Raw genomic sequence first — 15,338 nt, forward strand, 5'->3', positions numbered from 1 at the left:
CTCAGCTGTGAATGATGTTCTATCAGAAGGCAACAGTCCTGGTAGTTGGGGTGGTGGTCTGCGTCCTGAAGGGGAGATCTGAGCAGTATATGGTAGCATCCTTGAGCTGCTGGGATCCACTTTGTATAAGGTCACTCCGTGTAGGAATAGTACCTTCAGGTTTCTAGTTTGTCTCTTTTCCTTGTGATATTTGCAAGAGGTAGATTACTGGCATAATTGCCCAACAGGTTCTTTCTGCCCACTGCGCAGGAAACAAAAAAATTCGCTGAGACTATGGTATTGCAGAAATGAAAGAGTTTAATTAACACAAGGCCAGCCACCTGGTAGATGTAGTTAGTACTCAAATCAGTCTTCCCAAAAGCTCAGAGGTTAGGGTTTTTCAAGGATAGTTTGGTGGGTGCTGCTGATTGGTTGGGGATGCAGTCATGGGTGTGGAGAACAGTCTTCCTGCCCTGAGTCCACCACTGGGTGGGGGGCTACTGAACTGGTTGAGTCATGAGTCATGAGTTCAGGTAGGGTCAGTCAGTTACCAGAAGTCTGAAAAATATCTCAAAAGATGAATCTTAGTTTCGATAATAGTGATGTTATCTATAGAAGCAACTGGGGAAGTCACGAATCTTGTGACCTCTGGCCACATGACTCCTGAGCAGTAAGGGATTAAAGAAACTACACCTACACTTTGGCAGATTTCCAGGCCCTCCTATAATCCTAATCTTGTGGCCTTTCATTAGTGTTACAAAAGCAATTTCAGCCCTCTAACAAGGATGGAATCAGTGATAAGGAGGGATTATCATTGTTCTTGCTTCAAAGTTAAACTATGAATTAAATTCCTCCCATGGTTAGCTTGGCTTATACCCAGGAATGGCCAAACACAGCCCGCCTGTGAGGCTAGAAGTAAGGTGGAGTCAGCTGTTTAGTTTCTCTCACTGGCAGCATCTTTGCAAATGCAGTTTCAGTAGGATGAATTTTAGCCCCCACTGCTGTGGTTATTCTTAAGACTACACTGATATTTATATTTTCTCTCCTATGTTAACCATTCTTGATTCTCTTGCCATTATCTCTGTTGATCTAGGTGGCTTATCTAGTGTGGTATAAACAACAACAACAAAAAAATTCTAAGCCTCCCAGTGGCTAAATAGACCCCCTCTTGGCCAAGGTAGACCACAAAGAAACCTTATAAACTGAGTTCCCAGTCATGATGGGAAATGAGGTCAGACACATCTCATTATATGCTCTACCTTTTGGAGTTTAGGCATAACAACTGATCATCATTAATGTTAAAATAGAGATCATAAAACTGACAAAACAGGAAATTTGTGACAACAAGCTACCAAATTATAAATAAGTCGTAAGGCCAGGCAAGGGTAGGGTTAAAATCTTGCCTGCAGGCCACAAATCTTGTTACATAACATCCTTATCTTGACTTAAAACATTCCTTTCTGCTGACACCAAGTTTTAGACAGAATCTTATTCCTTTAACCAATAGCAAATTAAAGAATCTCTGAATCCACCTATAACCTGTAGGCCCCTGCTTCAAGGTATCTTGCCTTTTCAGGGCAAACCAATACATACCTCATCCATGCATTGATCTAGGTCTTCGTCTGTAATTCCTGCCTCCCTGAAATGTACAAAACCAAACTTTTATCCAACTGCCTCGGGCAGACTTTCTCAGGGCTCCTTCAGACTCTTGTTTTTCTGAGCTGTGGTCATCACACTGGCTTAGAATAAACCTCTTTAAAATATTTTACAAAGTTTGGTTTTTCCATTAACAGGGGTGACATGGTTTGGCTGAGCCCCAACCCAAATCTTATCTTGAATTGTAATCCCCATATTCCCCACGTGTCATGGGACAGAAGGTTTCCCCCATGCTTTTGTGATAGTGAATTTTCATGAGATCTGATAATTTTATAAGCCTCTGGCATTTCCCCTGCTTGCACTTACTCTCTCTCCTGCCACCCAATCTGCCATGATTGTAATTTTCCTGAGGCCTCCCCAGCCATGCAGAACTGTGTGTCAATTAGACCTCTTTCCTTTATAAATTACCCAGTCTTGGTATTTCTCTATAGCAGCGTGAGAACAAACTAATACAAGGGGTAGCCCAGATCCTCTTCTCCAGATGTGTTCATTTCTAATAACCATGCCTTTATCAGGCCACGGCTGCTGTATTTGTCCATTCTCTATCATAATTGGGCAGAGAAGTTCTAAGAGGCATGACAGTGAATCACTTAAATGACAAACATTTTCTTACTTGCCTCTACTGCATAGCAGAAACCCTCCCTCCTCCTAAACGACAGAGTAATTATACCTGTGAGAACAGTACCTCAGTTCCTTGCTTCCTGGTAGTCTCTGCACAAGGAATCCAAGGTGACCAAGTTGTGGCAACAGGTTAGAATTTAATGGGATATTTTCTATGTTCTCTGGTCATCCGAACTAGGACATCTAAACCTGCAAAGGCTAGAATTGTAGGTGAGAAGAGCACACATTCACCAAGTACTTCATTGAGATTGACAGTAAACAAAGCCATCCAACTTCCTTCCCTTGGTTTCCAGACCCAGACACAAGTGTTCTACATACTGGGACACAGACCATAAAATGGTTGTTGATTTGGTGTGCATACTACATCCTGAAGGATGATGCCCCATCCTTGCAGGGTATAATCTCCAAGCTGGCACCTCAGCTGTGCCGTCAGAGGCTTTTCCATCACTCTGTCAGGCTGACAATTTACTGGAGGTACAGTATGTGATAGGACCAGTCAGGTATCCACAACTTCACTCCATTTGCTCTAAAGTGTGTTCTTTAGTCTGATAGGATTGATATGATGATATATATAATTTTATTTGGCCAGGCATGGTGGCTCATGCCTGTAATCCCAGCCCTTTGGGAGGCTAAGGCAGGCGGATTACCTAAGGTCAGGAGTTTGAGACCAGCCTGGCCAACATGGTGAAACCTTGTCTCTACTTAAAAAAAAAAAAAAAAATTTATTTATGCACTCTCTAAACCTGGAATACTGGTGCTAACTGAGGTCCTAAATACAGGAAAGAGTTCAAAGTAATCAAGTTAACCCTAAGTAACTAGTTGATTTCCCAAAAGTATGGTTTCATACTGGGGGCTCACCACTGGTTTCCATTGCTGGTAAATTGGACATTTGGCAGCAGCTAAAGCTAAATCACCCTTGGTGAAAGGAAGCACAGGACATAAGCCTCATTCATAGCCTTCATTCCTGCCACCACGGCCACACATTTCATAAGCCTGTTGTGCCAGCACTGAGGTTAATTACAGAGGCTGGTTGATGTCAATTGGCTGAATCATTTTTTAACATTCATTTGGTAGTGCTTATTCTCATGTGGGCACTCTCTGAAAGGCTTTAGTATGTTATAGAAAATACTTTGGGTCCACTCCCAGAGCCCTCCATGTGTCCCTTCCTCTGACCTGTCTGTCCCTCATTTCCAAATCTTTCTCCTTCCAGACAAGTTATCCTCAAATTGCCATTGGTCCATATATTCTAATCTTGGGCAATTTATTTATTTATTTATTTATTTATGCAAAGGAAATGACCAGGTGTACCATCCAAATATGTGCCTGTTGGGAATATTTTCCTTCACTGATGTCTTTTTGGCCCTCCCCCGAGTAGAGCTATACTGTAGCTGTTGTTAATTTTCAGTATACAGACCTATATTATGTGAATGTATACTTTAAAAGGCTCACTTCTTTCTGTCATTTGATCTTAAGAGACCTCCCATGTGGTGATAGAAGTTAGCCAAGAGAGGTGGGTGCCAGTGTGACAATAGTAGGGACATGGGATTCTGGGCCAGCTACTCATGCAACTTACTTGTGCCTTTGGGCCCTATTCATGCTGAACATAAATGCAGCATTTCCATTCTGCAAGGTATGGCTGCTGGGCTAGCCTGACCTTACAATTTGGTGGGTCTGACAATATCCAGCTCATGATGGGCAGTTCTGGCAACATACACACTTGATGTCCCATGGCTAAGTGTTCATCTTAGGGTACAGAAGAAAACCAGGGACTCTTTTTGCACGGTATATCATTCTTTTCTATAGATGACATGGCCTTGCTTCGGAAACACCACTTTCTGAATACTTGTTAGATATTTACATTGTAATTCTTTTGCTGGGACTTTGTATAACTTTTATATGGCATCTTTTCCCATCATGGATGCAGCTAAAATCATAGATGCTGCTGTTTCTGTCATATGGACCAATTTGCAAGGGTGCTCACACTCTTGCCTGGATCTACCACCAAGAACTTTCCTGGTTTGGGACCCATCCACAGCTGGCAGCCTGTAATGTCATTTGGTAACAGGACTAGGAAAAAAATTCCCACATAAAGAAAATGCTGCTTCCAGAACCCAAAGAGGTCTACCAGGCATTGTGATTCCTTCTTATTGGTGATAAATGCAAGATGGCATAATTTTTTTTTCCTTTGAAAGTGACATCTCAGAATCTCCCAGACTACTGAACTCCTAAAAACTTCTTTGGTGTGGCAGCCCCCTGATTCTCCATAGGAGGTGAGTCCTGAGTCCATGTCCTCTTATTTGTACTCATTTTAGTCAACCTATCCACATTATCTAACAATCACTTCCCTTCTTGAAAACATTTTTCACTTGTTGTCTGTGAAACTCTTCCCTAGTCTCCTAGTTACTGTTCATTCCTTACCACTCTCATTTGTCTACTCCTCCTCATATACCTGACCTCTAATCATTGCAAAGACCAGGGCTCTTCTCTCAAAACTCTTTTCTATCTCTTCTTTATTCCCAGATGATCTCCAAATGCAAGAATTTAAACATCATCACTAATCTGTTAATTCACACATTAAAAAAAAATTTTTTTGGCAATTCTCCCCTAAATTTCAACCTTAAACATCCAATTGCCTATTCAATATTTCCATCTGAATATTTAAAAGACACCTCAAATTCTAAATATTCAAAACACAACTCTTAATTCCTTTCCTCTCTGTTTCCACCTTCTCGGGGGGAAAAAACCTCTCCTTTTCCGTAAGTCTATCCCATCTGCACAAAAAGCATCTTTTTTTTCCAGTTGCTGAAAAATCTTTGAGTTATCCTTGAACCCTCTTTTCTTTCACATTCCACATCTAATCCATTACAAATTTATTTCAATTCTTACTTTGAATCCTATCTGATATATGAATCTGTTTCCCCACATTGACCATTAACATCCTGGCCAAATCACCATCACTTCTTGTCTGGATTGTTGTAAAACTTCCTAATTGATCGCATCTCTTTCTTTCCCTTTGCAGTCCATTACGCATGCCAAAGCCAGAGTGAGCCTTTTACAATATGAGCCAGATCATGTTCCTTTTCAGATCAATTCTTAAATGGTTTTTTTTGTATTTGGATCAGGCCTTACGTGACTTGGTGTCTTACTGTTTCTCTGAGCTCATCTCCAAACACTCCCCTCCTCATTCACTCTGCTCTAGCTGTGGAATTTTTTGCACACGGCAAGTCCGCTTCCACTGAAGGCTCTTTACAGCTGCTGCAGCTCTGTCTGAAATGTTTTCCCTTAAAACTTTTGAAGCCTTTTTAAATGTTCATTTATAAGACCTGCCTTTCCCAGCCCCTTATGTAAAATAACACTCCATCACTTTTTATCTTCCTTATCCTAATTTATTTCTCTTGCTAATGTTTATTGCCACTTACGTACATTTATTTATTTTCCTCCTTCCTTTGTTTCTTATTTCTTATTTGTTTTTTGTTTCTCACTTCTAGAATGTAAAATCTATAAAAGAACAGATTTTGTGTATTCTGTTTACTATAGAATTATTGTGCCAAAACCAGTACCTAGCATATAAGAAGTTAATACACATTTGTTGAATACATGAATAAAAATTATTCTGTGATTCTTAAAATAGTGAACTAAACTTAAACTTTCTATCAGGCATAGAAATAAAATGTTCAAAATTTTATGTAGGTATATTTTTATTGTTATGTCTTTTTATTTTAGAGTACTTTACATATTTGGATTTTATTATTTCTTATATTTTAAGTATCAAGAAAAGAATTAGATAAGGGCATTAAGTATTATGCCTCACAGATTGTTTGTTTGTTTTGCTATGTAATCCTCTATGTATGTAGCAAATAAATACGATATCAAACTTGTACCTAATTATGACAAGAAGCTTTTCTAAATAACTGGGATTTTGGACTAGGGAATTTCGTCATTGCTGATATTTTCAAAACACATTTCCCACAGAACAAGTAGGTATGTATAATATATTTGCAAGGATCACCTATACTACTTAACTGGTGCTTCCCTGGACTAGGGAGAGAACAAAGGAAAACAGTAAAGAAACTGATAAAGTGTTAGCTTTCTTTTTAGTAGAAGAAAAGATGGAGAAAATAATGAACTATACATATGTCTTAATTAAAATTAAGAAAGCAGAAATATAGATGAGAAGTAAAAATAAAGAATAACAGATTCATTAAAAATCATTAAGCTTGGAACACTAAGCTCTTACTATGTGGCACAAACTTGTGAAATGGTTTACATAGTATTTTCTTATTTAATCCTCATGATACCTCCATGAGCTAGATTCTGTTACCCTCTCCCATTTCGAAGATGGGTTCTCTAAGAGAAGACAGTGACTAAACCAAGGACAGATAAATGTTGAAGTCAGGATTACAAACTAGGTTTTCTGACTCCAGAATCATGTTTTTTACTGCTGAGCTAGAGTTTACAGCATAATTCTGACAGAAGACTGCAAGCAGCAGTTGTCATCTACTAAATATCATGTTACCTCGAAGATCCGAGGTAACCTATTTATCCTTAATTGTTCATTCTCTAGCTAAGGTCTTACTAGTGAAGTTAGGTCCTTACCTGTGATCTAACTGCAGCACTGCTTTGAAATTAATGATAAAGGACACCACCCTTGATTTTAAAGAAAAGAGAGCTGGAAGTTATTTTATTTTCAATACTCTGTAACACAGTAGTCCCTCCGTATCTGTGGGGGACTGGTTCCAGGACCCTCCTTCTCCCACAGTTACCCAAATTCAGAGATGCTCAAGTCCGTCATATAAAATGGTGTAATATTTACATATAATCTATGCACATCCTCTCATATTCTTTAAGTCATCTCTAGATTATTCCAAATGCCTAATAGGATGTAAATGCTATGCAAATAGCTGTTATACTGGGTTACTTAGAGAATAATTACAAGGAAAAAAGTCTGTACATGTTCAGTCCAGACATAACCATCCTTTTTTCTGAATATTTCTTGATCTGTGGTTGGTTGAATCCACAGATGTGGAACCTACAAATATAGAGGCTTGAATGTGTGTTTAAAACTGTTGTTATTCTAGCTAATGATGTAGTAAAATAGTTTTAAACAAATGCTTGTGCGAAAGTCCAGAATGTTACAGCTCAGACTGGTTAAGGGAACTATTCAGACTGAAGAGAAAAACAGCCAAATCCTGAAGTCAGAAACAGGTGGATAATGAAGCACCACTGTAATCTGTTCTTACATTTCCATTTAGGCATTTATTTTTTAACTTGGGCAGGGAAGATGAGACAGAATTCAAAAAGCACTTGGAGAGTTTCTTCAATGAGCAAAGAGTAGCACTGAATGCTTTGGGTAATACAAGGAGGTAAGATTTGATACTTGGCCCTCAGATATCTTATTCCATAATGTTAACCTTTGACCAATCTAACCTTACAAACATACACAGATTTGAGCAGTCACCTTAAAAAAGAAAGTATGTTGTGTGGCACAGGCAGCTCCAATCATTTACTCTGACATGTCTTGATGTATAGCATAGACATTTTTTTGTTGTTCTTAGTTTAATAGTTTCAGGCATAAAGCATTAGCCACATGAGGTCACTGTTGTTCATGCATGAATTATAACTATAATATAGTTATAAGCATAAATCTTGATTCTCCTGGTTGAGTTGTCTTACGATCCATGCGATGAATATGTAACATGTATGTGGAGGAGTGGAGACAAGGTATTCCATCGGGCATACTTGAGGAATTAAGAATTCATTTAACCTAGATACACTCCTTTAACATTTTAGGATGTATTTTATGGCTAAATCAGCAATTGCTTTTAATAAATCCAGAATTAAAATTTTTAAACTATTTCAATTACAGGAAAAAAAAATCTAATAATGTATACAAAAGATAACTTTGTCCTTAGAGTAATTCTGAAATTATCCACATGTGAGACTGAATCATTCAGGCTTCACTGGTGGTTTAATTTAATTTAATCTATATTTTTGGGGAGACAGGGGGCTTCCTATGTTTCCAGGCTGGACTTGAACTCTTGGGCTCAAGTGATCCTCATGCCTCAGTCTCTCAAGTAGCTGTGACTACATTTGCCTACACTGCATCTGGGGTTTCACTGGTGATGCTAAGAAGCATGCTAAGTTTCATAGTCTTATATCTAGTCAATTATCATGGAATATCTTTAGCAATATAAGAAATAAATTATTTACATTTAGATAGCTTTATTTTAAATCCATGGGGTCAGGACACTGTGGAAAAATAAGAGTTGCTGGCATAAACTGCTACTTCTCACAGCCAGAGGTCCCTTTTGAATTAAGGCACTTCGGAGTTATTAAATTAAACAATGGACAAATAAATACTAGGCTTTCCAAACAATGGAATATCCTGGATATAGTGTTTATGAACCAGAGGACATTATAATTGTGTGTGTGTGTGTGTGTGTGTGTGTGTGTGTGTGTCTGTCTGTCTGTCGGTCTGTCTGTGTGTCTGTGTCTGTCTGTCTGTCGGTCTGTCTGTCTGTGTGTGTGTATGGTCTTGTCTTGTGCTCCCACCGTGCCACCAAAACTGGTTTCGTCAAAGTCACTAACAACCTCTATATTAAGTCCAATGGACACTGCTTGGTCTTCTTTTTACTGGATCTCTCAATAACATTGAATAGAACTGACCACTCCCTTTTTCTTGAAATTTTCTCTTCTTCTGCCTTCTATAAGGCCATCCTCTTCTATTTTTTTTTTTTTTTAATTTCAAGCTTTTTAAGCTGTTTCTCTTAGATACTCAACCCCTAAATATTGGCATTCCTTAGTTCTCTCTTGAACCCAGTCTTCATCTCTATCCCCCCAAGTGACCTTATTCATTTTTATTTTTAAAAATACCATCTGTATGCTGATGACTACCTAATTTATATCGGCAGCCCCAGTTCCTTTTCAGCTCCAGACTAGCATATCCAATCTGCCTAGTTAACACTTCCATATGAGTGTCACCCAGACATTGCACCTCAGCACCTAGTACATTCCTGACAAATGGTAGAAGTTTAATGGATCTTTCTTGAGTGGATGAGTTTGCAGGTGTGCATGTACATCATGTCTGTACCAGCTCCTATATGATTTATTTGTATTGAGGTCACACTGGATCACTTGTGTATTAAGACTTTGAGAGGAAATATATGAAATAAAATTATAGCATATGTGGAAGAAGATGTCCCTTATACTCTTTGCTATGTCAGTATTTCTTAAAGATATTTGGTAAATCACATAAAACATGTTATTTTATCATACAACATATGGAAAGTCATAGGAAATGATTATTGAATTTTTTCCTACACTTAGTCACTATTTTACATTTCTGGCCAAATTTTCTAACATCTCTTTCCAACTCTGTTTTCTCAGCTGCCCTCTTAAGCTCTACTGGGAAAGTGTCTTTTATTCCATATACTTTCCAACATTAATGAGAAAAGAATAAATATTGTGATAGCCTCAGTAAGATGATTGCATTCTTATCATAAATATTTCTATTGAATATTGGACATATAATTATTTTTAAGGATTTTTTAAACAACAAACTTGCCAACTTCATTTAGTGGAAACATGACAGATGGGATCTTCATGAAGGTTAGATTATCTAAAGAAAAAAAAATTTATGAATAAGAATATCGTCCAACATTTTAATATTAGTATCTTCTGAGATAAAAGTGATAGCCATGTTAAATAGAATAATGAGACTAAAGGCTAGTGGTTCTTCAGAATGTTTTCAAAGTTAGAGAGGCTGCCCCCCTATTCATTTCTCTTTTTATGATTAGTAGGCTAATTAACTTTGAAAAGCTACTTTTGTTAAACCCTTATTAAGCTAGGATTATGTCTTCTGATTGTCTCTTCTATGGGACCAGAGATAAGTAATGAAAAAAATATACTAACTTCAGATTTTGTTAAAGTTTCTAACCTAGTGAGTTCATTCTGGCTGCTTAATTCCAAGGCTTACTTCAGTCACTGACTTTTCCACTTCTGGTTATTGTAAATTATGAAATGTTGAGATTCTTATCCCTTGCTAGTCCTCCATAAGGCTCGGTTCAAGCCTGTTTCTATTTATAAGCTCTAAACATTAAATTTTCATTGAATGGAACATATGTTTTTAATTTCAGGGCATTTGACTGCATATAAATACTTGGAAGACTGATTGACACTTCTTAAAGTTAAAAATTATATGAACACCATCTTTGACTACTATTTTGAGTTTCTTATAATGTTTAGAATATTACTGAATATAGAGTGAACAATAACATGTAATAAATCTTTTTTGATTTGGAAAACAACTTATTCTTTTCCCCTTTTGGTAACAAATATACTCTTATGAAGAGCAACATTTTTCACCCATCCAACCAGTGTCATAAATGAGAGACTCAACATAGAACCTGAAATCACAAGGAACAGCCATCTTCATGGATATTTTTTTCATTAGTCTGAGAAATTATTGCTAAACTGTTGACAGCCAATTAAAAACATTATGAGATAGCAAACTTAGAGTCTTCAGAAACTATTGAGTATTAAGACTGGCGTATGTAAGTCTGTTTGTGTGCCTGTGTGTGCATGTATTTGTGTGTAGATGCTGGGTATGTAGGTCTGAAATTGCCTGTTTTGATACATATGCATGTCTATTCATTGCAGGTAGGAGAAATAAGCAAATGATTTTCCAACAGAGGTATTTTCTATCCCTATGATTTCTTTCATTATGTAGGTGGTATACATACACCAATGTGAGAAAGTTTAGTGAATAAATGAATGAACAAATTCAAAACTGAGCTTCGAGGCATGGGTTGAACTCCAAGAGATGGAAATGAGGAGTAAGCAGAAGGACCCCTGTGTGATAGTTGTGCTCTTGTTACCTCAGGGGCCTTGGTTTCTCCTCTTTAAAAGAGGAAACATGTAGGATTTGTGAGTATTTGTATCTACCGGGTATTTATAACCTTTTGGGTCTAAGACTTCTAAATATTGAGTGACCATATAATTTATCAAAAATGAAATCCTCTTGAGAGTTAAAGTGGGGCATTATTAATAATTAACCTAGGATAATAGGCATGAAATAACTTTGCTTTGAATACACTGGGATTGATGGCCAAACTCCCATGATAATCTGATGAAAGCTATTAACACTACGTTTGAAGCCCTTGATAATTATCTGTCTATTATTTTGAGGGGTCCTTCTCCTCCAGAACTTGACTATTCAAATTACAAACTATTCCTTTCTTTGCGGCTTTGAAATCAAGCACACAGGTCCTTTGAATTCCACAGATTTTCTTGTTGATTATACAGGGTATACAAAAGTCACACAGCTAATTAAGGTAACAAATGAAGCCCAGTCTCTTGTTCTAAGAGGCTGGATATTCAAGGTGCCTTCTACACCCTTGATTTTTAGCCCAGTAAGCATGGACTTTAGAATCACACAGACATTAATTCAAAGTCTAGTTTATCACGTACCGTGTGCCTTTGGGCAAATTATTACTCTCTTTAAGTCTCAGTTACTCCATCTATAATACAGTGGTATTGAGATGATTAAATTAGATGGGAGTTGTTTAGTGCTTAGGATAATGCTGAACAAATAATATATGTCCATGCGCAGCAATGTTTTATATAATTAATCTCATTAGTTTCCAGCTATTCTCTAACTCATGGCAGCAAAAAACAGGAAATAAAATCTCCAGCCCTGACTTTTTCCCTGCTATCTATACACATATATATCAAGCTCCTTATTTGATATCTAAACTTGGTTGTCTAAAAGACACTACCAACTTATGGAAACAAACAGACCATTTGTAGAAGATAAAGCACAACTTGCTCCTCCAAAAATCTTCCCCATTTCTGGAAAGTGTACCCCTGATGACTCAGGTGATCAGGATAAAAACCTAGGAGTTATTCTTAATCCCTAGAATTGTTACCCTACTCACTTTCTATATGCCATTTGTAAATAAGTCCTGTTGGCTCTAGCTCCCTGGACTTCTCAAATCTGACCATTCCTTCTCTATAAGGACAGCTCTAAACAAACAATTATTTCATGTCTGAACCACTACAATTGAGCCTTATCTACTTTCTCTGCAATCCTTTAAGTCAAAACAGCTAAAGACAATTTAAAAACTTGATTGATTCAGATCGCATTCATTCCTAACTTTGAATATTCCAATATGTTTTTCTTACTGCTTTTTCAATAGAGTCTTTTTTGTTTGTTTAGTCACAGGCTACAAGGTCATCTTACACTATCTAGGTCCTGCCTACTTCAGTGGGCTCATTGTCTCCAGCTTCGAGGTTTCTTTTACTACCTTCTGGTCACTCTGGCTGTCTTTCTGCCCTTTGGATTTGGTAACTGTGTCCTCTCTGGACCTCTGAACTCTCTATTTCCTCTATTTGAGTCATTTTCTTACTGGATCCCTCATGATTACCACCATCACATTTTAAGGTCCAGATGAACTTTAATTTTCTTTGAGAGGCGTTCTGTAAACATCCTACAAAAAGGACTACCTCATCCTTTGTAAAACATTTTTATTAAGTGTTTTCCTATCACTATCAGCTACTTGCCTGGGTAGATGTAATATATGCATTTACAGTATTCACAATCAATGATTAGTTTATTGTTTGCTTTCCCCAATAGAAAATAGACCCCATAAAAGCAGGGTTTATTCACTACTCTATTCCCAGCATCCAGAATCTTATTAGTACATAGTGGATGCTCCAAATATAGACACTGTGTACACGATGTTTTGCCCTCCATTCTGTTTCCTAAGCTTTACTGGTTATCTTCATATGCATGCATTCACCAAGGCTATGAAAATAAAATACAAGCCCCCACCTACAACTTTGCAGACCAAAGGATAATGCTGAAGGAATAAGCAACTGACTCAACATTGCTTAATGTTGATGCAGGCCAAATAAATAAGTGTCAATTGAGAAATAATACAATAAGTAAAGCAACTTAAAGCCAACATAATACCTTGATTACTTCTAAAGTTGATAATACTGGAGATTATATCTGAGGGAAAGTGAAATTCCTAAAACCAAATTAGGGAGTCTTTTTTTTTTTTTTCTTTTTCTTTGAGACAGGGTCTCATTCTGTCACCCATGCTGGAGTGCTGGAGTGCAGTGGCACAATTATAACTCACTGCAGCCTCTAACTCCTGGCCTCAAGTAATCCTCCTGTCTCAGGTTCCCAAGTAGCTGAAACTATAAGCATGCTCCACCATGACCAGGTAATTTTTTGTTTCAATTTTTTTCTCTTTTTTGTAGAAATAGGGTCTTGCTATGTTGACCAGGTTGGTGACAGTCTTAATTAGCAAGCCCCAGGCAGGGCTAATAATCACAGCCTCATCATATAGAAGGATGTCTCTGTAAAACTAAGGACATGATGCAGGCATGGATGTTAGCTATTTAGACATAGTGAGGAATGGCTGAGCTACATAGGTCCAGGTTCTTCTTTTGAACTTACCACTCAGGTTAAGTCTATTCTTATCTCCTGCAGAGAAGTGAATGAGAGGGCGGAGATAGGTAGGCAGCAATGGTCTAATCATGGAGTTTGCACTAATGGACAGAAACGTAAGAGTGGTGAGGAAATACCCCTCCAGCTTATGACTAACACTATAATTTTTTTAGAATGTATATAGTTGATTAAATTATGGTCATACATTACCTTTTCTCATTTTTAACTTTTGAAATAATTTTTTATTAATCCTGAAAGCCAAAGAAAAAGACCCTAGTATTGAATATTACAGATTCAGATGAAATGGCCATAACTATAAGGAAAATTGGTGATCTTTAAGAATAACTTCTTAAGATATGATCCTTGGTAATTATCATAATAAGACTAACATTTGAAATGTATTTTAAGTCAACACTTTAATTCGGTAGGCACTTAGACGAAGCTGAAATGGGAAAATTACCCATTTTTATTGAAAAATGATTGCTTATTATGACTAAATTTGGGAGCTCTGCATTATTTACCTACTGTGATAAACAGACATTAAAATGGTTATTGCTAAACGAAGGGCTTAGCTTCAATTTTCTCTACTCTAAACATAACAGAATATATTAAGCATGTAGAAATGTTTTGAACTCAGTGGGAAGTTATATTGATAGTACTAGTTTTTCAAGTTGAAAACAAAGTGGTTTTATAATGTCTTTGGGATTTTATGTTACTTTAGTGTTCAAAGATTTTTACCAACCATAATTGAGATCATCACTTATGCAAAGCATCGTAGTGGGTGATCAATAAAGCAATCAGTACAATGTAAATTCTAGGGAGTAGATGGGGAGTTTGCTGAGACATGACTACCGTATGCTACCTCAGTTTTTTTCTTGGAAAGGAAGTGGTCCCATTATGCTGACCCTGCTGTTTCTTACCATTTTCTGTGTCCTACAGTTCCTTGTTGATACCTCCTGGACTTTATTTCTCTGTAAGATGATTTTTACTAGGTAAATCTTTCCATGTTATCACATCTATTTCTTTCTAGCCCTAGTTCAAGTCCATGTGTGGGTCTCATCAATGATTTCTGTGATCCTCATTAGGTTGATCAGAAGCAAGCAGATTTTGAATAATCCTCTTTGAGCTTTCCTCCCCTACTGCCCTGAATTATTACAGGATGGTGAATTACCTCATTCTGGGAATCTGTGATACTAATGCTTATCCTAATCTGATTTCTAATGTGAATAAAGTGGAAAACAAACATATCTACTTGCCAACCATGACCAATTGACTACGAAATTAAAGATGCTGGAATTTCTGCTGAACTCCACTGAATTAAGAGATTTTTACCAGATTGTGAAAAAAATCTAGAGAAAATGACTTGTTTAAGAGCACAATAAATCTAGTTATTGGTATTCTAGGCTCTAGGGATGATCACACTGTTTAAAGTTAAGTAGATTAATGTAGCCACCACATTAACCCATTTGACTAAAAAAATGCATTAATTATGAATTATTTCAGGAAAACAATTCCAGAAGTTAAAGTAAAAACAATAAGTGGTGTGTATGGTGGCCTCTCTAATGTAGGCTGCCCATCTTTCTGCATCTGGGTTTGGGCGTTGAAGCAGCAGAAGCATAAATAATGC

At 37.2% G+C, this 15,338-nt stretch overlaps 2 annotated features.

The window, feature by feature from the left end:
* Window positions 543-782: an enhancer, noted in NCBI's record as "active region_25023". NCBI's record gives its function as "activates an Ori minimal core promoter by ATAC-STARR-seq in GM12878 lymphoblastoid cells {active_cell/tissue: GM12878}" and the evidence as "EXISTENCE:reporter gene assay evidence [ECO:0000049][PMID:35858748]".
* Window positions 803-872: an enhancer, noted in NCBI's record as "active region_25024". NCBI's record gives its function as "activates an Ori minimal core promoter by ATAC-STARR-seq in GM12878 lymphoblastoid cells {active_cell/tissue: GM12878}" and the evidence as "EXISTENCE:reporter gene assay evidence [ECO:0000049][PMID:35858748]".

This window comes from Homo sapiens, chromosome 6 (genome assembly GCF_000001405.40).
Source record: "Homo sapiens chromosome 6, GRCh38.p14 Primary Assembly".
In the NCBI taxonomy this organism is placed as follows: Eukaryota; Metazoa; Chordata; class Mammalia; order Primates; family Hominidae; genus Homo; species Homo sapiens.